Below are 25,288 nucleotides of genomic sequence, written 5' to 3' on the forward strand. Positions count from 1 at the left end.
CCTCCTGGGTTCAAGCATTTCTTTCGCCTCAGCCTCCCAAGTAGCTGGGATTATAGGCGCATACCACAACACCCAGCTAATTTTTTTGTATTTTTAGTAGACACACAGTTTCACCATGCTGTATTTTTAGTAGAGACAGGGTTTTTCCATGTTGGCCAGGCTGGTCTCAAACTCCTTACCTCAAGTGATCTGCCTGCCTCGGCCTCCCAAAGTGCTGGGATTACAGATGTGAGCCACCATGCCCAGCCTCTCCTTTGCTTTCTAACTGTATTGGCTGGAAAAGAAAATAGGAGACATGGGAAAGCTCTTATCAGCACTGCCATAAAATGGTTCTATTCTCTCTGGGTCCAGCAGATGCCTAAAATTGGCTCATTCTGAAGGTAATTTTGTTGGCTGAAGGTAATTTTTTCAAAGTTCTCTACTACAATGCTCTGGTTCCCGCTCTCAACATATTTTCTACCAGCTGTGCACTCCCCTCAGATCCTAGTTTTTCAGAAGTCCACCCCATTCAGACTCATGATATTGGGGTGTCCTGCATACTGGTGGGAGTCATTATGGGCAGGATCCCAGGTTGCTGTTTCTGCCTTTGGTGTCACATCTGATCCCCAGGTTTCACACACCCCTGACATACCACTGAAGACAAGCACCACTTCCTGACGCAGCAGCTATTCTCCATCTCTCTACCTTCCTTGCCCCAGAAGCACTTCCCAGCCTGCGTCTGTTCTCTGGATTTTCCAGGAGGGTGTCAGAGACCAGCCCACCAGTCCCCAGCTGCAGGGATCTCATCTTCAGCTCTTGAGCAATCCCAATGGTGGCCTCTCCCTCATTCATTTTGAGGTGAAGGATAAAGCATCCTCTTCCCTTTGGGGTCAGGATTCAAAGCATCACAGAAGCTGTTGATGAAATTGCTTCGTAAGTGCCTCTCTCCCTTTCCACTCTCTAGTTTTGTATTCTCAAAGTGGGTAAGAATTGAGAGATCCATTCTCCCATAGCTACCTTGAAGATGCCTTCAGGGTGGTCTTTCTCACTTTCACTTGGTGTCTGATGCCTATCTTGAGCCCTCAGTCCATACCATCTGTATTAGTCCATTCTCACATTGCTATAAAAAAATACCTGAGTCTGGGTAACCTATACAGACAAGAGGTTTAATTGGCTCATGGCTCTGCAGGCTGCACAGGAAACATGGCAGCATCTACTTCTGGAGAAGCCTCAGGAAGCTTTTACTCATAGTGGAAGGCAAAGCAGGAGTGAGAGCCTTACATGGCAGGAGCAGGACCCAGAGAGAGAAGGGGAGATGCTACAGACTTTTAAACAACCAGATCTTGTAACAACTTTATTGTAAGAACAGAACCAAGAGGTTAGTGCTAAACCATTCATGAAAGAACCACTCTTTGCTAAAGCATAGCAAGAGTGACCTTTACTCCAGTTCCCAGTAAGTTCCTTGTTTCCATCTGAGACCACCTCAGCCTGGACTTCATTGTCCATATTACTATCAGCATTTTGGTCACAACCATTTGGCAAGTCTCTAGGAAGTTCCAAACTTTCCCTCATCTTTCTGTCTTGTTCTGAGCCCTCCAAACTGTTCCAAACTCTGCCTATTACCTAGTTCCAAAGTCATCTCCACATTTTCAGGTATCTTTATAGCAATGCCTCACTCCCAGTATCAATTTTCTGTATTAGTCAGTTCTCACACTGCTATAAAGAACTACCTGAGATTAATTTATGAGGAAAAGAGGTTTAATTGACTCTCAGGAAGCACAGTTGGGGAGGCCTCAGGAAACTTACAATCATGGCAAAAGGGCAAAGGGGAAGCAAGCACATCTTCACATGGCCAGTAGGAGAGAGAGAAAGTGAAGGGGGAAAGAGCTACACACTTTCAAAACAACTAGAGATCATGAGAATTCATTCACTATTGTGAGAACAGCAAGGGGGAAATCCACCCACATGATCCAGTCGCCTTCTACCAGACCCCACCTCCAACACTGGGGATTACAGTTCAACCTGAGATTTGAATGGGGACATGGGTCCAAACCATATCACTATCCTGCCTGTTAGTCTATCCTGTTATCCTACCATTTACTAAGGGTTCACTGTGTGCCAGGTGATTTACAAACAGTGTTTTGAAACCTGAGGACAACTTTGTGAGGAAGGTGTTATCACCTCTTTTTTACAGATAAGAAAACAAAGGCTCAGAATTTAAATATGTTTATAAGATGTTGCACTGCTAATGGATGGAGAAGCTAACCCTGAAAACCAGCCCAGTCTGGCCCAAAAGTCTCAATATTTCCCTCTGCAACATGACCAGAGCTGCTAATAATTGCTGGGATGGAGTCTTGGCTTCATTCTCAAGTTTCTCAAATTTCACTTCCCAGTCAGACATGGTGGCTCATGCCTGTAATCCCAGCACTTTGGGAGGCCGAAACAGGTGGATCACTGAAGGTCAGGAATTCGAGACCAGCCTGGCCAACATGGTGAAACCCCGTCTCTACTAAAAACATAAAAATTAGCCGGATGTGGTGGTGGTAGGTACCTGTGATCCAAGCTACTTGGGAGGCTGAAGCAGGAGAATCACTTGGACCAGGGAGGCGGAGGTTATAGTGAGCCAAGATTGTGCCACTGTACTCCAGCCTGGGTAACAGAGTGAGACTCTGTCTCAATAATTAAAATTAAAATTAAAAAAAAATAAATAAATTCACTTCCAGATGATGCTCATACAGCTTTTATGAGCCCTCCTTGCTACCAAAGACTCTTAAGCTCAGAAGTTACAGGAGCATTTGAGAGGGTGGAGTGGGGGTGAGGGGGTTATGACACTGTTCACCTCAGATGCAGCTGTCTCAGGGTCACTCACAAAACAAAGTGTCCCTTTTCTCCTTTTTTTTTTATATAAGAACATGGTCCTCCTGCAAATTGACTTGAAAGGAAGCCAGATTCCACTGTTCCTTGTCTGCCTGTGAAGGAAGATAGCCTCTTTCAGCACTTAAAGGACCTTAATCCATGATAGGGAACTTCATGAAATGGCTGGGGATGTTGATCAGAGGTCAGATGGCCCCTAAGTAGCCAACACAGATCCAAAGGAAATCAAATAATGTCACTCTCCAGAAAGCAGTTTTTATTTCACCAAAGGTTTGGAAACTGTGCATTAAACAAATCTCTCAAAATCTCTCTCTCTCTCTCACTCTCTGTCCATCTCTCTCCGTCTCTGTCTCTGTCTCTCTGTCTCTCTGTCTGTATTTCTCTCTCTCTGTCTCTCATTCTTTGTCTCTCTATGTTTCTCTCCTTCTCTCTCCCCTCTCTCCTTCTTCTTCTTCTTCTTCTTTTTTTTTTTTTTTTTTTTTTTTTTGAGATGGAGTTTCACTCTTGTTGCCCAGGCTGGAGTGCAGAGGTGTGATCTCAGCTTACTGCAACCTCTGCCTCCAGGGTTCAAGCAATTCTCCTGCCTCAGCCTCCCAAGTAGCTGGGATTACAGGTGCCCACCACCACACCCAGAGGGTGAGAAAAAGGGGTGTGGCTGGGCGCAGTGGCTTACGCCTGTAATCCCAGCACTTTGGTATGCCAAGGCGAGTGGATCGCCTGAGGTCCAGAGTTTGAGACCAGCCTGGCCAACATGGTGAAACCCCGTCTCTATCAAAAATACAAAAAATTAGCTGGGTGTGGTGCTCACCCTCTTCCTGGCTATCTGCTCTCTCTGTCCCTGCTCTCTTGCTCTCTCTCCTCTGTCTTTCTCACTCTCTCTCACCCTCTTTCTAGCTATCTGCTCTCTCCCTGCTTGCTCTCTCTCTTTCTCTCTCTCTCTCGTCTCTCTCCTACCTCTTTCCTTTCTTCTCCATTTCTCTCTCTCTCTTTCTCTGTCTACCCTCCATCATGACACCTAACAATATTTCTTAGTTCTTCCTATGCTTCCTTTTAGCTTTTTAAATAATTGTAACAATTTTATCTGTTTAAAAAGTGAACAGAAAAACCCTAGACAGCCTGTTCATTTGGACATCAAGGAAAGCAGACTTTCAGACCAATTGCTAGGCAATCCAATCCCACAGACTCCTTGTTTCGTTAATGTGCTTTCGTCTGCCTGGATTGTAATGGGTGTCTGTCTGTAATTGTGTACTTTAGGTAAATAGATCATTAGATAAGATTGATAACAGAGTGGCTTAGGTAATGTTTTAAACCAAAAGCAGAAAATCATCGGGTGTCTCCAGCTGTAAATGACAGGACCACAATTCATACAGTTTCAGTTAAGGGTCTGTCAGGGTTTTTCAGCATAAATCGCCATTTTCTGAAGGTTCACCTTTCTGCTTTAGCAAAGAAACGGGGAGACTTTCTTTCCAGCTACAGCACAGTGCACGGGGCTCCAGGCAAATGGATGTGAGTTTGTTTGCATAAAGAACTTGATATCAAGTTACTGCTCATTAATGTAGACCACAAAATGTTTTTACAAATAATTTCTTCATTTTGCAAAGGCTGGCTCTCAGCCTTTGCTGCTGCTCCAACCAGGGTCACAGAGCACTCAGACACTGTCTTTATGTTCTAGTAGCAGTAGAATTCAGGCTAACAGAGACAAAGCCAAAGAAATCTCTTCTTGGGTTAAAGAGGCAGAACAATCCAAACCAATAGATTCTCCCAGTTCTGAAGATGGGGCCTCATCATCTAGAGCCACAGAATCATAGAGTAACCTTGCAGGGCATCTAACCAGCTTCCTATCCAAAATGGGAGGATATGTAATGTTTTTGGCTATCAGGCACAGTATGAGCCATGGCTCTGCTATTTTCTTCCTGTTTGACCCTTGAACAAATCACCTCTCATGCCAAGCCTCAGTTTCCTTATCCACAAAATGGAGATAAAGACAGTGCCTACTTTTAAAAGTCTTGAAACTTGGGTAACCAGGGTGACTTGGTCTCCCTGAGAGAGGGCTGGCCTGAGGTGGGCACAGTACTAATAGGTGGTCTGATCTTCTACATTGTCTTCCTATTTGTTGGTAAAATTGTTGGCCTGGGTTCAGGCACATACTCAGAGCTCATTAAAACCAGACAGATTAGGAAGTTCCTCCCTTTAAGAAGCTTTCTCTAACTCTCTCCTTGTTTTCTTCCTCCCTAACTCTGTGCGGTTCCACAGTCAGAGCCTTCATCATGCAACTGCTGATACGTCTGTGTCACCACCAGCAGCAGATTCATCAGAGCAGGAACAGCCATTAATGATCTTTGAATTCATTCATTTATTCAAAACCCATTTGCAGCACACCTACTATGTACTGACGCAGGGCAGACGAGCCTCAAAATTGGGGCTTAGCCCGGGAGGGTTCTTGGCTTTGCCCAGGGAAGAATTCAAGGTCAAGCTGGTAATGTTAGACAACAATTTTTATTGAAGTGGCAGTGTACAGCAGCAGCAGAACTGATGCTCCTTGCAGAGCAGGGCTGCCCCATAGGCAGTGTGCCACGAGTAGCAGCTCAGAGGCAGTTCTGCAGTCATATTTATACCCATTTTTAATTATATGCAAATTAAGGGGCAGAATATGTGGAATTTTCTAGAAAAAGGGTGGTAATTTCCAGGTTGTCGGGTTGTTGCCATGGAAAGGGTAACTTCCAGTTGTTGCCATGGCAGTGGTAAGCTGACATGGCATGCTGGTGGATGTGGCTCAGAAAAAACTGCTTCCACCTTGTCCCTGTTTTAGCTAGTCCTCAATTTACTCCAGTGTCCAAGTCCCACCTCCTCAGTCAAGTCCTGCCTCCTACCTCAGTACCAGTTAAGCCCCATGGAAAAAAACATAATAAATATTTGTTGAACAAATTAATGCAACATCTTCCGCAAATAGTGGACCTATTATCTCCTTGTACAGCTACTTGCTCTAAACAGTACAAACTCTATTTAAAATGTATTGTTCTTTTTAAGTTTCCACTCATTCTTAACTTTAGATTTTCTGGATAATTCCAGAATATTCTAGAGGGCCATTTACTCCTGGAACCAGCCATCTTCAGTGAAATCTCTTTGAATATCTGAGATGAGGTGTTCTATGGAAATCAAGTTTCCCTAGGTACTGCACCTTTTGCTTTGTTATTAGAATGATACATAGTTATCCATTTCATTTCATTTTATTTCATTCATTTCATTTATATTCATATTCATTCATTCACTCATATTTATTTCATTTTCTAGAGTTCCTCACCCATCTAATGCCATATTTCTTTCTAGAGACTTTAGCAAAGAACTCATGTCAATCTTTTATGAGATTGTTCAGACCATTTCCTTCCAAAATCTAGTGCAGAATATGACCAGAATTATCTCCTTCCCAATACAGTATCAGTCCCCAGATACAGGCACTGTGGTGAACTTTCCCCAAAGTTTCCATCCAGTTTTCTTCCTTTATTGGCTCTTGGTCCATTTTTCACTTTATTCCTGTGTTTGTCCAAAGATAAAATTCCTAGCAATGCAAATGAGAAATATATCAGATGTTTCACTTCAGGTTTGCAACAAAGGCCTGAAAAATTGGCCTTTCATCATTGCAGTATCTTGCATCAGGACCAATTTTGCAATGTCTTGCATTTCTCTCTGTGTTCTGAAGTTCTTTTCCACTAGTAGAATTTTTCTAAATTATTTTATTCTCACCCAAATGCTTTAAAAAACAATTTTATTAAAGTATAACATACATAGAGAAAAGCACACAAATATAAGTACATAGTTTTATAAGTTTTTACACAGTGAAAAGATCCATGCAACCTCTTCACCAAAATCAAGATACAGACCATTACCAGTGCTGTTGTTTCAACCTTTGTCCTCTCCAAAACTCATGTTGAAATTTAATTGCCATTGTAGCACCATTAAGAGATGGGGGCCTTTTTTATTGAAATGTAATATTTGTAAATATGTTGATGGGTACAGGTGATATTTTGTTATATGCATAGTATGTGTAATGATCAAGTGAGGGTACTTAGGATACCTGTCACTAGGACCATTTATCATTTCTGTTTTGAGAACATTTCAAGTCCTCACTTCAAGCTATTTTTAAATGTACAATACATTGTTGATAACTATTATTACACTACTCTGCTATCCAACATTAGAACTTATTTCTTCCATCTAACTATATGTTTATACCCATTCACCAACCTCTCTCCATTCCCAACACCCACACCCATATCTTTCCCAGGCTCTGCTATCATTCTATTCTCTACTTCATGAGATCAGCTTTTTTTTTTTTTGAGATGGAGTTTCACTCTTGTTGCCCAGGCTGGAGTGCAATAGCATGATATTGGCTCACCGCAACCTCCGCCTCTCAAGTTTAAGCGATTCTCCTGCCTCAGCCTCCCAAGTAGCTGGGATTACAGGCATGTGCCACCACACCTGGCTAATTTTGTATTTTTAGTAGATACAGTTTTTCTCTATGTTGGTCAGGCTGGTCTCAAACTCCCGACCTCAGGTGATCCACCCACTTCGGCCTCCCAAAGTGCTGGGATTACAGGGGTGAGCCACCGTGCCTGGCTGAGATCAGCTTTTTTAGATCCCAAATATGTATGAGAGATATATTAGTCCTTTCTCACATTGCTATAAAGAAATACCTGAGACTGAATAATTTACAAAGGAAAGTGGTTTAATTTGCTCATGGTTCTGCAAGCTGTGCAGGAAGCATTATGCTGGCATCTGCTCAGCTTCTGGGGAGACCTCAGGAAACTTACAATCATGGCTAAAGGTGAAGAGGAAGCAGGCATGTCTTACACAGCAGGAGCAAGAACAAAAGAAAGTGGGGGGCAAGGCGAGCTACACACTTTTAAACAACCAGATCTCATGAGCACTCACTATCATGAGGACAGTACCAAGGGGGATGGTGCTAGACCATTCATGGAGGATCCACCTCCACAATCCAATCACCTCCCACCAGGCCCCACCTCCAACACTGGGGATTACAATTCAACATGAGATTTGGGTGGGACACAGATCCAAACCATGTCAGGTGATTACATGCAATATTTGTCTTCCTGTGGCTGGCTTATTTCACTTGCTATAATGACCTCTAGTTCCCTATAAGGTGATTAGACCAGAAAGCCTCCACCCTCATGGATGGGATTATTGCTATTATAAAAGGGTGAGTTTTGTCCTTTCTCACCCCTCTCTTGCCCTTCCACCTTCCACCATGGGATGACACAGCAAGAAGGTTCCCACAAGATGCCACGCCAGCCCCTCAATCTTGGACTTCCCAGTCTCCATTTTGAGCCAATACATTTCTGTTCATTATAAATTACCCAGTCTCAAGTAGTCTGTTATAGCAGCACAAAACAGACTAAGACAACCAGAACCCAAAAAACCCCCTCAAACATCCTCCCAGACATGGTCCTCCTTCTCCCCAATGGTAACCACCATCCTGACCTCTATCACCATCAATTATTTTTGCCTGTTTCTTGAATATCATATAAATGAATAATATGGGGTATACTCTTTTGGATCTGGATTCATTTCACAATGTTATGTTTATGGGATTCACTTATATTTTTGTGCATAACTGTCATTTGTTCATTATCATTGCTATATAGTATTCTACAATATGAATGTACCACAATTTATTTATCTGTTTACTTCTTGAAGGACTTTTGGGTTGTGTTTCAGGGAGAAGATGGGAGTGGAGCTATTACAAAATGCTATGAATGTTTTTTGTACAATGCCTTTTGGTGAATAAATGTAGATTTCCCATGAGTGGAATTGCTGGCCAGAGGAAATGCATATGTTCAGCCTTATAAGCTTTATATGCTGCCAAACAGTTATCCATAGGGGTGGTTCAATTTATACTACCACCAGCAGTGAAGGAAATTTCCAGTTGCTCCACATCCTCAACAATCTTGGTATTGTGAGTGTTTTTAATGTCAGCTATTCTGGTGGGTGCTTAGTAGTATCATATTGTGGAAATGCTTTAATCTGCATTTCCTTAATGCCTAATGAGGTTGAGCATGTTTTTTTAGGTTTATTGGCCATTTGGATATATTCTTTCATGAAATGCCAGTTCAAGTCTCTTGTTCATTTTTCCGTTGTTATACACATCTCAGATCTACTTCCAGATGTGGGGAAACAAGCACTGGTGTAGGTGAGAGTGAAAATCTGTACATTCTTGGAACATGGTTTTAAATACACCAAGACCCTTTATGTAGTCATTTCACTTTTAGGTGTTGATTGCATGGAAATATTCCTAATAAGTACTGTCCTCAAGAATAAATATTGAGAATATTGAGTACTTATACATATATTTTTAAATATATAGATAGATGCTTATCACAGGTCTTTTTTTTTTTTTTTTATTGATCATTCTTGGGTGTTTCTCACAGAGGGGGATTTGGCACGGTCATAGGACAATAGTGGAGGGAAGGTCAGCAGATAAACAAGTGAACAAAGGTCTCTGGTTTTCCTAGGCAGAGGACCCTGCGGCCTTCCGCAGCGTTTGTGTCCCTGGGTACTTGAGATTAGGGAGTGGTGATGACTCTTAATGAGCATGCTGCCTTCAAGCATCTGTTTAACAAAGCACGTCTTGCACCGCCCTTAATCCATTTAACTCTGAGTGGACACAGCACATGTTTCAGAGAGCACAGGGTTGGGGGTAAGGTCACAGATCAACAGGATCCCAAGGCAGAAGAATTTCTCTTAGTACAGAACAAAATGAAAAGTCTCCCATGTCTACTTCTTTCTACACAGACACGGCAACCATCCCATTTCTCAATCTTTTCCCCACCTTTCCCCCCTTTCTATTCCACAAAGCCGCCATTGTCATCCTGGCCCGTTCTCAATGAGCTGTTGGGCACACCTCCCAGACGGGGTGGTGGCCGGGCAGAGGGGCTCCTCACTTCCCAGTAGGGGCGGCCGGGCAGAGGCACCCCTCACCTCCCGGACGGGGCGGCTGGCCGGGCGGGGGGCTGACCCCCCCCCACCTCCCTCCCGGACAGGGCGGCTGGCTGGGCAGAGGGGCTCCTCACTTCCCAGTAGGGGCGGCCGGGCAGAGGCGCCCCTCACCTCCCGGACGGGGCGGCTGGCCGGGCAGGGGGCTGACCCCCCCACCTCCCTCCCGGACTGGGCGGCTGGCCAGGCGGGGGGCTGACGCCCCCACCTCCCTCCCGGACGGGGCGGCTGGCCGGGCGGGGGGCTGACCCCCCCACCTCCCTCCCGGACAGGGTGGCTGCCGGGCGGAGACGCTCCTCACTTCCCAGACGGGGTGGCTGCCGGGCGGAGAGGCTCCTCACTTCTCAGATGGGGCGGCTGCCGGGCGGAGGGTCTCCTCACTTCTCAGACGGGGCGGCCGGGCGGAGACGCTCCTCACCTCCCAGACGGGGTGGCGGCCGGGCAGAGGCACTCCTCACATCCCAAACAGGGCGGCGGGGCAGAGGCGTTCCCCACATCCCAGACGATGGGCGGCGGGGCAGAGACACTCCTCACTTCCTAGATGTGATGGCGGCCGGGAAGAGGCGCTCCTCACTTCCCAGATGGGATGGCAGCCGGGCAGAGGCTGCAATCTCGGCACTTTGGGAGGCCAAGGCAGGCGGCTGGGAGGTGGAGGTTGTAGCGAGCCGAGATCATGCCACTGCACTCCAGCCTGGGCGCCATTGAGCACTGAGTGAACCAGACTCTGTCTGCAATCCCGGCACCTCGGGAGGCCGAGGCTGGCGGATCACTCGCGGTTAGGAGCTGGAGACCAGCCCGGCCAACACAACGAAACCCCGTCTCCACCAAAAAAATACGAAAACCAGTCAGGCGTGGCGGCGTGCGCCTGCAATTGCAGGCACTCCGCAGGCTGAGGCAGGAGAATCAGGCAGGGAGGTTGCAGTGAGCCGAGATGGCAGCAGTATAGTCCAGCTTCGGCTTGGCATGAGAGGGAGACCGTGGAAAGAGAGGGAGAGGGAGACCATGGGGAGAGGGAGACCATGGGGAGAGGGAGAGGGAGAGGGAGAGGGAGACGAGAGGGAGAGGGAGAGGGAGAGCTCAAGTCTATCACAGGTCTATTTTATCAAAAATCTTTTAGTTGCAAGTAACAAAACCCTCTCAAATTTACACAAGCAAAAAATATTGGAATCAGAGGTTCACATTACAGAAACTCTAAGGTTTCAGGCATAGCTAGATCCAAGAGTTTAGACAAAGTCATCAAGAATCTGCCTATATTCATTGTCTCTATTTCCATTTGTGATGGTTTCATTCTCAGGCAAGAGCTCTTTATTGAGTGTCAAAATGGCCACCAGCAGCTCCAGGTTTAAATTCTTCTGGCTTAGGAACAGCAGGGAAAAAAAAATAAGCTTCTCTTTCTGTAAAGAAACATCAAGGGTCGCAAAAGAATCACCCCTGAGTTATTCACTTGGAGCCCAGAGACCAGGGTTACCCACATTTGAGCAACATGTACTGAGGATGGAGAAGGGATAAGTCCCAAGATGAAAATCCAGGTGCTTTGATCAAAAGAAGGCAGCCCAACTGTTGACAAGACAAAAACAGTTAGTGTCTATTCCATCAGCATTAATCATATTTTCAAAAAACTGGCAACAGCCCAAAATGTGCACCAATAAGAGAATCAAATAATAAGTCATGTCCATGCATACTGTGGAATATTATGCAGCCACTAAAATGAACAAGGTTAAGTCCGTACATATAGACATGGAAAGATGGCCATTGTGCATAGTTTAATGAGGGGAGTGATCATTGTATGTACAGTATAATGAGTATGGCCATATAATTTATTGCCCAACTTGGACACTTTTCAGAGTAAAATGAGGTGCATCATCAGTTATCCTGGAAAAATACATATAAATTAAGATTGTCCTGGACAAACACATATGTATTGTGGCCAGAATTCTAATCCCATTTTTATTTAAACATCTATCTTATATCTATAGCTGTGTCTATATCTATCTACTTACCTACTTGTATGTATTTATAATTTGTTTTTATTTAAGACTTGGAGGTTGATTCTAGGATGCATGAGAAGGGGCTTAGGGGAGACTCAGCCCCTTTTAAATTTGAGGTGTAAATTACATGCCATAAAATGTTTAAAACTTAAGTTACAGCTCAATTAAATTTTACATATCTATATACCTGTTAACCATGACCTTAATAAATATATAAAACATTCCAGAAGATTCTCTCATCTCTTCCTATCAATACTGCACCCACTTCTCCCTGCAATAAATAAATAAATAAATACTACACCCACCACAGATGTAACCAGTATTCTAACTTACAATATTGAGTTGTGTCCATTCTTGATCTTCATGTAATGAAATCATAGGGTATATATTCTCTTTTACCTCTGGCTTCTTTTGCTCACCATTATATCTGGGTGATTTAATCCACAGTGTTGCACGTATCAGTAGTTTATTATTTTTCATTGGTAAATAGTATTTTCTTGTATGAATATACCATAATTTATTTCTTTACCCTCTCATTGATAGACATATGGAGTGTTTCCTATTTAGGACTATTATGAGTAAATCTTCTTGGACATTCTTTTACATGTCTTTTGGGTGAACATATACACTAGATTTTCTTAGCTGGGTCATAGAATAGGAATATTTTTAGTTTAATCAGAAACTGGCCCACAAGGTGGCTCAGGCCTATAATCCCAGCACTTTGGGAGGCCTAGGTGGGCAGATCACTTGAGGCCAGGAGTTCGAGACCAGCTTGGCCAACATGGCAAAACCCCATCTCTACTAAAAATATAAAAATTAGCGGGTGTGGTGGCACATGCCTGTAATCCCAGCTACTCGGGAGGCTGGGGCAGGAGAATCGCTTGAATGCAGAAGGCAGAGGTTGCAGTGAGCTGAGACTGCACCGCTGCACCCCAGCCTGGGCGAGACAGCCAGTCTCCCTCTCAAAAATAAAAATAAAAAAGAAAGAAATTGGCAGGATTCCAGCATTCTAAGGTGTCAGCCATGTATGAGAGCTCCAGTTGCTCCATATCCTCATCAAAATTTAGTCTTTCTTATTTTAGCCTCTCTGGTGAGTGTGTAGTGATACCTCATCGTGCTTTTAACCTGAATTTTCCTGATGAGTAATGATATTGAACAACTTTTCATGTTGTTACGGATCATTTGGATTCCTCTTTTGTGAATGCCTGTTTGAGTCTGCTGTCTTTGCAAAATTTTGTCCTCTATTATTGACTTGTAAGAGTTCTTTATATAGTCTAGGTATGAGTCCTCTGTGTGTGTGTGTGTGTGTGTGTATTCACGAAGTGCCTTTTTATTCCTTTAATGGTGCCTTCCATAAGCAGAAATTCTTAAATTTAACAAAGTCAAATTTATCCATTCTTTTTATTATAGTTGGAGCTTTTTTTCTATATGTATTAGAAAGCCACAAGACACAGCTATTAATATTGCTTTAAACAGTCAGTATTCTATCCAGGCATTCATACATTTGCTCCATCTGGTCTCTTTGTTCTATTCTGTGGGTACTTGTTTCCATCTGGGATTGACTTCCTGCAGCCTGGAGAGCTGCTTTAGTATTTCTTGTAGTGCAGACCTGCTGGTGGTGAGGAATTTCCTGAGCTTTTGTAGGTGCGAAAATACCTTTATTTTGCTACCATTTTTGAAAAATACTTTTATTGGAGACAGAATTGTAGGTGAGCAGATTCTTGGGTTTTGGTGTTTGGTTGGTTGTTTGGGGTTTGGGATTTTCATTTTTTAGCACTTTAAATATGTCATTCTGTTGTTTTATGTCTTTCATAATTTCTAAGCAGCACTCTTCACTCTCTGAAATTTTAGTTCTTCTTTTGCTTCCATGGCTCTCCAGTGCCTTCGAAAATACGATCCTTGTAATCTTGCTGTTGCAATGAAAACAATAGGCTTTCACTAACTGCCACAACCTACTCAGAAATTGAAAACAAGCTTTAATTTGGGGCGGTTTCGAGCTAGGATATTTGCTTCCCTTCCTTCTTCTCTCCTTCCTTCCTTCTTTGTTTTGACTTTGATATACTCATTTATTTTTAATCAACTTTTTGAGGTGTAATTTACATATAACCAAATGCACACATTTTAAGTCTACAGTTCAATGAGATTTGACGATTGTATGCACCCACGTAACCACCATCCTAATCAAGATATAGAGCATTTTTATAGTCCCCAAAAGACCTCTCATACCCATTTGAAGTCAATCCCCTCCTCCTACCCTAAAACCCAGGCAACTCCTCATCTATACTCTATCACTATAAGTTAATTTCTTTTTTTCTGTTTTCTAATTTCCTATAAATTGAATCACATAGTATATGCTCTTCTGTGTCTAGCTTCTTTCATCCAACATGTTTTTGAGACTCATCATGTTGTTGGACATATCAGTGGCCTGCTCTCTTTTATTACTGAATATGAATATAACAGAGTTTATCCATTCACCTGTTGATGCACAGTTGGGTCAGTTCCAGTTTTTCTTTTAAAAGTCTGAGAAGATAAAAGTAATTTGCCGGTGCATCTTATAATTGATGCCCACACTGGTAACAGAGCACAGACTCCGCTGGGAACAGAGCACAGAGGAGATCCACGGGGCGATCTCCCTTTGGACAACCGCAAGCATGATGAGTGTTGCAGAAAGGCAAGCACAGGCTGTCACAGGAGCAAACAGCAGGAAGACCTTGTTTTGTCCAGGGATTCAGGAAAAGCTCCCTGAAAAAGCATTTGAGATGAGAGCCAAGGATGACTGGGAGTGAATGATGTGAAGATGGAGACAGGCTCTGAGGTGTATAGAAAACTCAGTGGACATGGAAGGCAGTTGGAAATTAGTACATCACCGAGCATCTACACAGTGAGGCAGATGTTGTGATAGACACTTCTTAAAAATATTGTTCCATTTAATCCTCAGAACACCTGTGAGAAGTATACTAAGCTCCATTTTATGAACGATGAATCAGATTCAAGGAAATGAGATAACGTGTCCCAGGTGACAGCATTAGTGGTCATAGCAGGATTCGAACCCAGCTCTATCTGGCCTCAAAACTCATGCTTCCTCCCTGTCCTGAGACGAGCCCTGGTTAGACTGATTGCAAAGGAGATGGAACAAAAGGGACAGATTCAAGAAGGATCAACATGTTCCTGGCAGTAATGAACACTAAAAAAAAGTTCTATTTATTGAATGAATAAATATCCAAGGAAAGGAAATCCTTTAGCATATTGTCTGTGTTTCCTCGTTTGTATTTAGTTCATTGTTTAAATTAAAAATAAAGACACTGATGACTGACAAATTTATTAAATCCTATGCAGTCTACCTGGAAATTGTCACATTATACAAATGTCAACTTTTGTGTGTGTGTGTGTGTTTTGTTTTGTTTTGCGGTCAGAGGCAAGGGCTAAAAGAAAGCAAGATCAGAGAAATACCAAGAGGTGTTTACTGACTAAAGGGCAAAGGGATCTATCAGTTAACCAAAGCAAGATAAATAGAACTGCCAATTAACTTTATATTCTCAGAAGCAGTGAGCAAAGAACGCTGCCTGAACAATGAAAGTGTTGCTGCAAGCTTTCATATTTGCTGTTGTCTGCATGTAATTTGTTTCCTTTTACATAGAAATATGTGGTATTAACAGAGGAATGTGATTAGAATACCAGCGGAAGCTCTCTTTGATAGGAGACACACAGGCAGGTGCCTAACAGCCTATGGAGATCAGGACAGTTTCTCTCCAGTAAACTCACAAATTGTGGGGACCATGATCTGCTTAATAAGTAAAAGGGCAATGGGGCCAAGATTACAATGTTGAAAACATCCAGGCTTCCCACCTGGAGTCCTGGCCTCACAGTAATAATAAGAATAAAGATGTATTGAGATATATCTAGACCTAACTATATAAATAGACAGATAGATATACACACATACACACACTGTGCTAAGATGCTTCACATGAACTCCCTCATTTCACCCTCAAACAACCACAGGGTAGATGGTTTATCACCGTTTTAGAGATAAGAAAACTCCAGTTAGTACGTCACTGAAGATCTACACAGTGACGTAGATGTTGTGATAGACATTTCTTAAAAATATTCCAATTAATCCTCAGAACACCTGTGAGAAGTATACTAAATATACTAAGCTCCATTTTATGAATGAGGAATCAGAGTCAAGGAGACGAGATAACATGTCCCAGGTGACGGTATTAACGGTCATAGCAGGATTTGAGCCCAGCTCTGTCTGTCTTCAAAACTCATGTTTAGGAGACTCTTCTGCTTTCCACCAAAGCCCTTGATTTGAACCTTTGCTCTCTCCTGAATCCACACTTCTCCTGAAGGAGGAGCAAGGTGGAGATGGGATAGGGCACAGGATGGCTGACTCTCTGACTGGAGGGCCTAAGAAACCCCACTTTGACACACACACAGAAAACTGTGCCCTGGGTGGGGGTGTGGGGCTTCATGAGAAAATCAAGTAGCAAGAGAGAGTCTTAACATGCTTAGATGGCATGTGCCTGTTCTCCTGATTTAATGGATGAGAAAACTGAGATCCAGGGCAAGGGCAGTGAGATAGTGAGGGTCTCTTAGAATGAGTACAGCCTTCAGGGACCCACCCCATGTACCCGTGGGATCAAGACGAGCCAGAGGATACCTCCTAAGTAAGAACAGAAGGAACAGAAAACCCTTAGGGTTTGTTGTTGTTGTTGTGACAGAATCTCGCTCTGTTGCCCAGGCTGGAGAGCAGTGGCACAGTCTCGGCTCACTGCAACTTCTGCCTCCCAGGTTCAAGCGATTCTCCTGCCTCACCCTCCCGAGTAGCTGGGATTACAGGCACCCGCCACCATGCCTGGCTAATTTTTGTATTTTTAATACAGACGAGGTTTCACCATGTTGGCCAGGCTGGTCTCAAACTCCTGACCTCAAGTGATCCACCCACCCCGGCCTCCCAAAGTGCTGGGATTACAGGCGTGAGCCACCGCACCTGGCCTGAAAACACGTATCATACTTGCTATGTGCCAGACACAATTCTAACCACTTTTCCACAGATTAACTCAGCCTTCAAACAATCCTAAAAAGTAGGTATGATTATTTCCTGCATTTTACAGCCAAAGAAACTGAAGCACAGAGAGATTAAGAGGACTTGTGCAAGGTCATGGAGGGCTATAGTCCTACCCTCTGAAGTAAGTTAAACCCTCTCCAGAAAAAGCCCTCGAGTCTCCTTTTCTTGTTCCTTCAAAGTCACTCATAGCTTTCCTTCCCTACATGATAATTCCACCGCCTATATCCTCCAAGTCCCCCAAACTCTGCATTTGAAATATTATGGGATCTTCACATATTTATTTAAAAGTATAGAATAAGATATCTATTTTAGTGTTTGTGTGCCTGAGTTATGGAGGTCTGAGTCCCAGGTTTGCCCTTAGCTGTGACCTTGGGAAAGCTTAGTACAATGTAGAGGTCAACATGACAGCTCTGCCCAAAAGTCCGTGAAGTGACAAACAGATAAACAAGATATAGCCTATCCATACAGTGGAATATTATTCAGTCATGAGAAGGAATGAAATACTAATGCAACCTGCAACATGGAAGAACCTTGAAAACGTTATGCAAAATGAAAGAAGCTGGTCACAAAAGGATGCATATGACATGATCCATTTTTATGAAAGTACAAACCAGGGAAATCTATAGAGACAGAAGGTAAATTTGGGGTTTCCAGGGGCTCAGAAGCCTGGGAGGATAATGGGGTAATATATAAAGGGGTTTTTTTTTTTTGAGCTGATGAAAAGTTTCCAGAATTGATCATGGTGATGGTTGCACATATCTGTGAGTCTCTTAAAAACTTTTGAACTGTACACTTTAAATGGGTGAATTGTATTGTGTGTGAATTATATGTCAATAAATCTGTTTTTCTGAAGAAAAAAAGAAGAACAAGAAGAAGGAGGAGGGGGAGGAGGAGGGAAGGGGGAGGAGGAGAAGGAAAGAAGGAAGAAGGAAGAAGAGAGGAGAAGAAAAGAAGGAGGAGGAGGAAGGGGAGGAGGAGAAAAAGGAGGGGGAAGGGCAGGAGGAGGAGGGGGAGGAAGAGGAGGAGGAGGAGGGGGAGGAGAAGATAGAAAAGAAGAAGACGGCTCTGATGAAAGAATTCCTGGGTTCAAGCCATAGAGCTGCCATTTTATAGCTGTACAACCTTGAGCTACTGGCCCAAACCTCATTTTTCTTGTCTAATAAATATTAGCTGAGAATGATAGTAAATGATATTAAAATGTTTAGCAATCAGTATGGCTAGGACACCGGACCCGCCATTAACTCTTTTGTGGCTGGATCATGTGAAAGTCCAAGGAGCTTGCTGGAGAGGGACTGGAGTGGTCAGGGGAACACAGGGCGGTACTCTCGGCCTCACAATAAAGAATTACGCCTTCCGACTTCTGAGCTGAGAATTTGCAACCATGGGGGAAACCATCTGAAATTGGGTTTGTCATCAGCAGCTTCTAAAGGTTGTACCAGTGGCCTCAACTTTCAAATACATGCCCTTTTGCCCTCAGCACCATTTTGCAGTGCAGCTATTTCCATGTAATTAACACAGGTTCATGAATGTGCCCACCTTGGGTTTCCATGACAATCCCTGCTCGTAATTAACGTGGCCCGGTTGCATCTCTGTGCTTCGGTTCAGGCCAACCTCCACTTAGTCGCCACTTTATCTGTAATACCCCAAATTTAATTGGTGCTAATTATTTCTCTTTCTATGCTGGTGATAACCTGATCGTTTCGTAGTTCTTTTTCCCCTTTCCTCTTGTTTTTCTGAACTAACGTCTAGAGAGGATGAAGAAAGAGGAATGGGTGGGGACAGACAATGCCTATTCTCTTTGGTGACAGAGGAAGAATTGTGGAAAGATAAGAGTCTCAATATCCAACCACACAGTGAGGTCTCAGCTGGTAGAACTCAAGGCTGCAGAACTAGGGATACAGGAGGTAAAAGCAGGCAGGCAGGTTGGTACAAGAGAAGAAAATAACACAAGCATGACCTTATACGAGGCCTTCCTTTCCTGTGCTGGAGGAATGAATGCTAAATCCAGGCCTGAGAAGTAGCCATATTTGGAGAGAAAGACGCTCGCAATGTAGGTTTTAAAAAGATTTACAAGGCACAAAGCACCAAGCTCATCTCCAAGGAAGTCTCCCCTTTCAGCCCAGAAAAGGGTGAACACTGCAAGTGGAGAGCTGACAAACAGCATTCCTGGGGGATGGGGGAAGCTTTCTAGTTTTATTGGGTTAGAAAAAACACTTGTATTGCATTAAATTTCTTAAATCTGCAGAGTGCCAGAGATTCAGAGGGCTGCAGAACTTTAAAGCCCACTGAATCCTTGAAAGCTAATGTAAGCTCCCTGGAAATCATCTTGCCAGAGAAACACTGATGCATAGTGGTTAAGAATATGGACTTGCTCACTAGCTGTGCAGCCATAGGCAAGTTACTTTGCCTCTCTGAGCCCCACAGTCTCCATCTACAAATGGAGAAAATAATAATACTTAGCTCGTGGAGCTGTTGGGAGGATGTTAGGAGGATGTAATTAGCTCGTGGGGTTGTTAGGAGGTTAATGTGTTGAAGCAGCATCCCGTATGTTGTGTTTGTTAATTACTATTGCCTGCTGCCTCCCAGTACCTAGCACGGGGCCTGGCATGGAGCAGGTGCCAGTAAATGGTTGTTGAATGAATGAATGTGGTGAAATGGGGGTTCAGAGGCTTGCCAAGGGCATCAGTAAGTGCCTCAATTATTCAGAATTTTGCCTTTCAATCCACCACCTAAAATCAGGGATTTCAAATGTAAATGTCTTCAAGACCCAGGCAGGAAATACAAATGAGTAAATTCAGCTTGGGGATAAGGACGTATACCTCCCTATCAAACACAAGAAGAGACCAGGCCAGACCAGCTTTGAGGCCGCTTCAGGAAAGGTGGTCACTTAACGTGTTCCAACATGCCTGAACCTGTCCAACGCCTGATTCAGTCCCATAAGCCCAACCCTGCACTTAGACAATTCCAAACAACACAATCCATTTTAAAGTTCCATTTCTCTCCAACCCACAGAATCCATAATGAATTAAGGAAAGCATATCAAATATAATCATGCACTATTGTTAAGTTCTTGGCAAAGTTGCCAAATGTCAGGCAGACAGTGCGCCCCGTGGTGCATTCCACATCCGGGACTATGGCTTAAGTTGTCATGATAATGAATTGCCGTGCTCACTTAGGCTTGGGAATAGATCCAGAATATCATGTCGAGTTGAGAAAAGAAGTGCCTCGCAAAGGTGACACCTTATACCTCATTTGCAAGGCAACAATCCCAAACACACATCACAGGTATGGATGGATGAGAGAAGGTTATTTTCAACACAGCTCTTTAAAACTGTACTTGAGGGCCTGAAGTCTATGTGAAGGGGTCACGTGGATGGAGCAGTCCACTCCTCCCTGCTCATCTCAGGAACAGCTCTGACATCTCACCAACAACCTAGGCCTTGAAGGCTGAAATGCAGAAGTTCAGTAATAATTTAAGCCTGGAACTGGTGGGGGCATTCATCAAAAACACTTACTCTTCAACAGTTTGGTTTAGAATATGAGGCAGGCATAGTGGCTCATGCCTGTAATCTCAACACTTTGGGAAGCTGAGGCAGGATGATCACTTGAGCCCAGGAGTTTGAGACCAGCCTGGGCAACATAGTGAGACCCCATCTCTACAAAATATTTTCAAAAAACTTAGCCAGGTATAGTGGCACACCCCTGTAGTCCCAGGCACTTAAGAGGCTGAGGTGAGAGGATCCTTTGAGCCCAGGAGGTTGAGGCTGCAGTGAGCCATGACCATAGCACTGCACTCCAGCCTGGGTGACAAAGTGAGACACTGTCTCTATTTTAAAAAATAAAATAAAATAGTAGCTTTTTAATCACCCTGGGCCCTGGACCCTAATGCCTCAGCGATTGGATGGGTTGGTTCTCTCTACCTGATTCCATTTCTTGAGACAGCCTTGTGTTTCTTCATTAAACCACCATCACTGGGGACTTGATTCCTTCTATAGGAGAACAAGATCAGATCATGACATTGTGTCTCCATCAGCAAAATAGATACTTGAGATAATTAATAAAAAATGCAAGACACTGCCCCCACCCCAAGTGGTACCCATGTTCAATAGGAGAGAGGGGAGGAAGGGCTTAAAGCCAGAAAACTTCAGGGATTTTTCTCCAGAGCCCAAATCTCATAGTTCCCAACCTATTCCCAAGGCCTGGATAGAGCAGTGGCTCAATAAATAGTTGTGGAATGAATGAGTGAATGAATGAAATGAATGAGTGAATGAATGACTCGGTCTGCTTTGTGTCAGAAAAAAACAACTACCCTTATAGTCAGAGCTGGGTTAGAATCCCATGTCTACCGCTTAAAAGCCATCAAATCTTGGTCAAGACACTTCTCTTTTCTGAGCCTGAGGTTTTCCCATTGGTGGGATCTCAGAAGCGCTCCCAAGTTGCTGTTTCAATTTTCTAAAACAAACCACAGCATCCATCCAGTTCTCCAGGCAGCTGTGTTTCCTAACCCCAGAGTTGTTCATTTCTTTAGGAATAGGCTTTTCTCCGGGCTTCAAGAAACAAACCAGCTTGGAATTCTTCCTGCAGAGCCTGGCCAGGAATTCCCCTCCCTGGCTCTGGGAAGAGCCCATCCACTAGAGCCTACATCCATTATTAAAAGGGGCTTGTGCTGAGTCTCTGTGATGATGCCACCTAAGGACTCTCTCAATCTGGTGATCCCAGGTGGGAGGTGGCACTAGGACAGAGGTTAGAATGGCAGGTAAGCATGATCTTAGGCCGGACGCAGTGGCTCACCCCTGTAATCCCAGCACTTTGGGAGGCCAAGGCGGGTGGATCACTTGATGTCAGGAGTTTGAGACCAGCTGGCCCAACATGGTGAAACCCCATCTCTACTAAAAATACAAAAAAATTAGCCGGGTATGGTGGATCGTGCCTGAATTCCCAGCTACTCGGGAGGCTGAGGCAGGAGAATTGCTTAAGCCCAGGAGGCAGAGTTTGCAGTGAGCTGAGATCACACCACCGCACTCCAGCCTGGGTGACAGAGCAAGACTGTGTCTCAAAAATAAAAAATAAGAATGGCAGGTAAGCATGATCTTTAAGAGTTAGGCTAGCCTGGGCTTGAAGCTAGGCTTCTCTACTTAATGGCTGTGCCACTTTGCCTCTCTGAGCTCTCATCTGCAAAACTGGGGCATAATGTCAATCTTTCAAGAGACTGTGAGGTTTAGAGCTGATGTATAGAACCCTAGTAACTAGGAACCACCCTCCCATAGCGTGGCTTCCAGGGTCCCAGGGTAACATAAATCAAGACAGAGACAATCACTGGGCAAAATCTCAGAGATTTGATTGACACATAAAAATCCCCCACATTATGGAAGTCAGGCAGTGCCATAGTCCAAAGCTGCTTCTGGAAAATGCTTCAGTGTTCAGCCTCCACCTACGAATCCCCACTCAGAGAGATATCTCGGTGCTTGAGTCCCCCCGCCTTATCAGCAGGCATGACATAGATTTCACACAACACCTGGGCCCTAGAGATGGTTGCATAACCCACTAAACAAGCCACAATGCCTGGGCCTTAGAGGTTGCTACACACGCCATGGTGACATGCAGCGTAATTTTAAATGGACAGTCACTTTCACTCTTCCTTGTTTATGATGTGTTCATTTCAATAGTGCATTAGGAAAACTCTAACAAGGCGTTTCAAAAGCATAATGTCGTGGATATTATTGCTTAGGAGAGAACTAAAGTAGATACTTAAGGTTTTTTGTTTAACGTTACTGTAAAGAAAAATATTAATAGTAAAAGTGGCAGTGCATGAGTACCACAATAGATTATGATGATTGTAAGTGAAAGTTTGAATTTTGGAAAACGTGGAATCAGGAGGAGGGGGCAATGTCAGGTTTAAGCTGCAGAGTGGGTGGCGTCTCCTTTACAAAGTACTGAAATGCAGTCAAGCTGACTGACCTGGATCTAACCCTGGAGCAACTTCAACTTCCTGATGCTAAATGGGGAGCTCAGAATATAACTCCAATTCCCTTACAGTCATAAAATGCCTAGCACATAGCATTTACTCAATAAATAATCTGTGATTCTTTTGGTGGTGCTTAAGAGAACACTGATTGACCTAAAGAAAAGCTGGCTCCAATCACTCTAAACCCCACCGGCAGCTATGTGACTCTGAGCCAGTTACTTAACCTCTCTGAGCCTCAGTTTCCTCATTTGCAAATAGGGGTTTTCATCAGTCCAACCCTGCTTATCACAATTGAGGCACTGTCAATAGAAGCTTGCTGCCAAACCACTTACTACATGCCTCTGAGTGTAGGACCATGTCTGTCACCGTGGTGAGCAATTTCAGCAAAGAGGAGCAGCGTGGTGGACTTGAAACTGCACTGGTGAAAGTTTATGCTTTAGTTTTGCCACCAAAAATCTGTGCAAACTTAGGCAAGATACTTTCTCTCCGGGGTGGGGTGGGGGGGGGTCTCAGTTCCCTTATCTGTAAAATGAGATGGGGGGCGTCCCCCTTCATTTCCACAAGTTCTCATTAATGGAAGCTTGGCTTAGCCTCTTTTCTAGCCATCCAGATGTTTCTAAAATACACCACTTCTGACATGGCAGAGACCAAACATGTGGATGATTGACTACATTTTTCACGTTTCATTTGTTATCTAGACAGGCTTTAAGTACATGGATAATGAACCTGGAATTTCAAATGAACTTGAGCCAATTCCTTTCTCACTCTCTCTTTGAGGCAAGAAAGGTTTCTTTGAAGGAAATGAAGAGAACTTTATCTTTTTTTTTTTTTCTGCTCCTGACAGAACACCAGCTCTTGCCCAGGGGCTGAGTAGTAGGAAGCCAACTTGCCAGAGGGAGAAAACCTATGCTGAAGAGGCAGTTTTCTGTGCTGGTTAGGTACACAGACTTTGAAATTCCAAAAGCTCTGGGTTCTAATCCCAGCTCTGCCACTTAATGGCTGTTAGACTTTCATCTAGAGACTTAAGATCTGAGGGCCTTCTCGTCCTTAGATGGATAATAATACCTTTGTCACTGGGTTATTGTGAGGATTAAATAGATTAAAATATTAAATATAATGTATTACACCACTCATCCATGGCAGCCATGAAGAAATTACCTATAAGGGTCAATGCTATTACTCTCCTCCTTTTTAAAGATGAGAAAACTAAAGCACAGAGAAGTTAACTGACTTGCTCAACTTCAGAGGTAGTAAGTATGAAGCTAGGAAAGGAAACCTTATAGAAATAATAAAGACAAATACATAGATAGTTGCAATCTGGACGGGAAAGGGTATGATGAGAGATGCTATAGAGGGGTGGTGGTGTTCCTGGAAAGGGGTCTTGATCGAGACCCCAAGAGAGGATTCTTGGACCGCACATAAGAAAGAATACGGGGCAAGTCCATAGAGTAAAGTGAAACCAAGTTTATTAGAGAAGTAAAGAAACAAAAGAATGGCTACTCCATAGGCAGAGCAGTGGCATGGGCTGCTTAACTGAGTGTATTTATAGTTAGTTCTTGATTATATGCTAAACAAGGGGTGGGTTTTTCATGAGTTTTCTGGGAAAGGGGCAGGCAATTCCCAGAACTGAGGGTTCCTCCTCCTTTTAGACCATATAAGGGTCATTTCTGGTTGTTGCCTTGGCATTTGTAAACTGTCCTGGCGCTGGTGGGAGTGTCTTTTAGCATAATGCATTAAAATTATGAGCAGTGAGGACGACTAGAGGTTACTGTCATTGCCATCTTGGTTTTGGTGGGTTTTGGCTGGCTTCCTTACCGCATACTGTATTATCGGCAGGGTCTTTGTGACCCATATCTTGTGATACCAGTCCTGCCAACCGCCTATCTTTCTGTGACTAGGAATGCCTAGCCTCCTGGGAATGCAGCCCAGTTGGTCTCAGCCTCATTTTACCCAGTCCCTATTCAAAATAGAGTTGCTCTGTTTCCAGCGCCTCTGACAGTGGGGTTTAGGGACAACGTGTCTTAAGAATGTATCCATATGGACAGAAACTTTTGCCCCATTGATGTGCTGGTAAATGTTTAACAACCAGCTTTCTGGAAAAAACAAACAAGCAAGCAAAAAACCCTAATTTGCAATGTTTGTTTGCCAGTTTCCATGGTGTAAATATTCCCACTGTGGCCAATTTCAAGCTATCGATCACTGAACAAAGAATTGGGAAGCAGATGCATACAATCAGCTCTCATGCAATCACCCTCACCAGCTAGTACACCATTGCTTTCTCCGCACTGGACTTGAAAGATCCCCCTGAGCTGTCTTTGCTGGGCCACATCCCTCCACCCTACCTACTGACCCATCAGAGAATGTCCCCATACAAATAAAATGTGTCCATGAGCCCCTCCCCCC

General features: G+C 43.7%; 1 protein-coding gene across 5 annotated transcripts in view, besides 1 other annotated feature; it reads left to right on the forward strand.

Moving 5' to 3' along the window:
* Window positions 1-25,288, forward strand: part of CCDC60 (coiled-coil domain containing 60) — a 206,312-nt gene that overhangs the window by 15,556 nt on the left and 165,468 nt on the right. The window lies entirely within an intron of this gene.
* Window positions 19,250-20,449: an enhancer, noted in NCBI's record as "MED14-independent group 3 enhancer chr12:119807339-119808538 (GRCh37/hg19 assembly coordinates)". NCBI's record gives its function as "activates an origin of replication core promoter dependent on BRD2, BRD4, P300/CBP and CDK7 cofactors, and independent of MED14, by STARR-seq in HCT116 cells {active_cell/tissue: HCT116}" and the evidence as "EXISTENCE:reporter gene assay evidence [ECO:0000049][PMID:35650434]".

This window comes from Homo sapiens, chromosome 12 (genome assembly GCF_000001405.40).
Source record: "Homo sapiens chromosome 12, GRCh38.p14 Primary Assembly".
Lineage (NCBI taxonomy): Eukaryota > Metazoa > Chordata > Mammalia > Primates > Hominidae > Homo > Homo sapiens.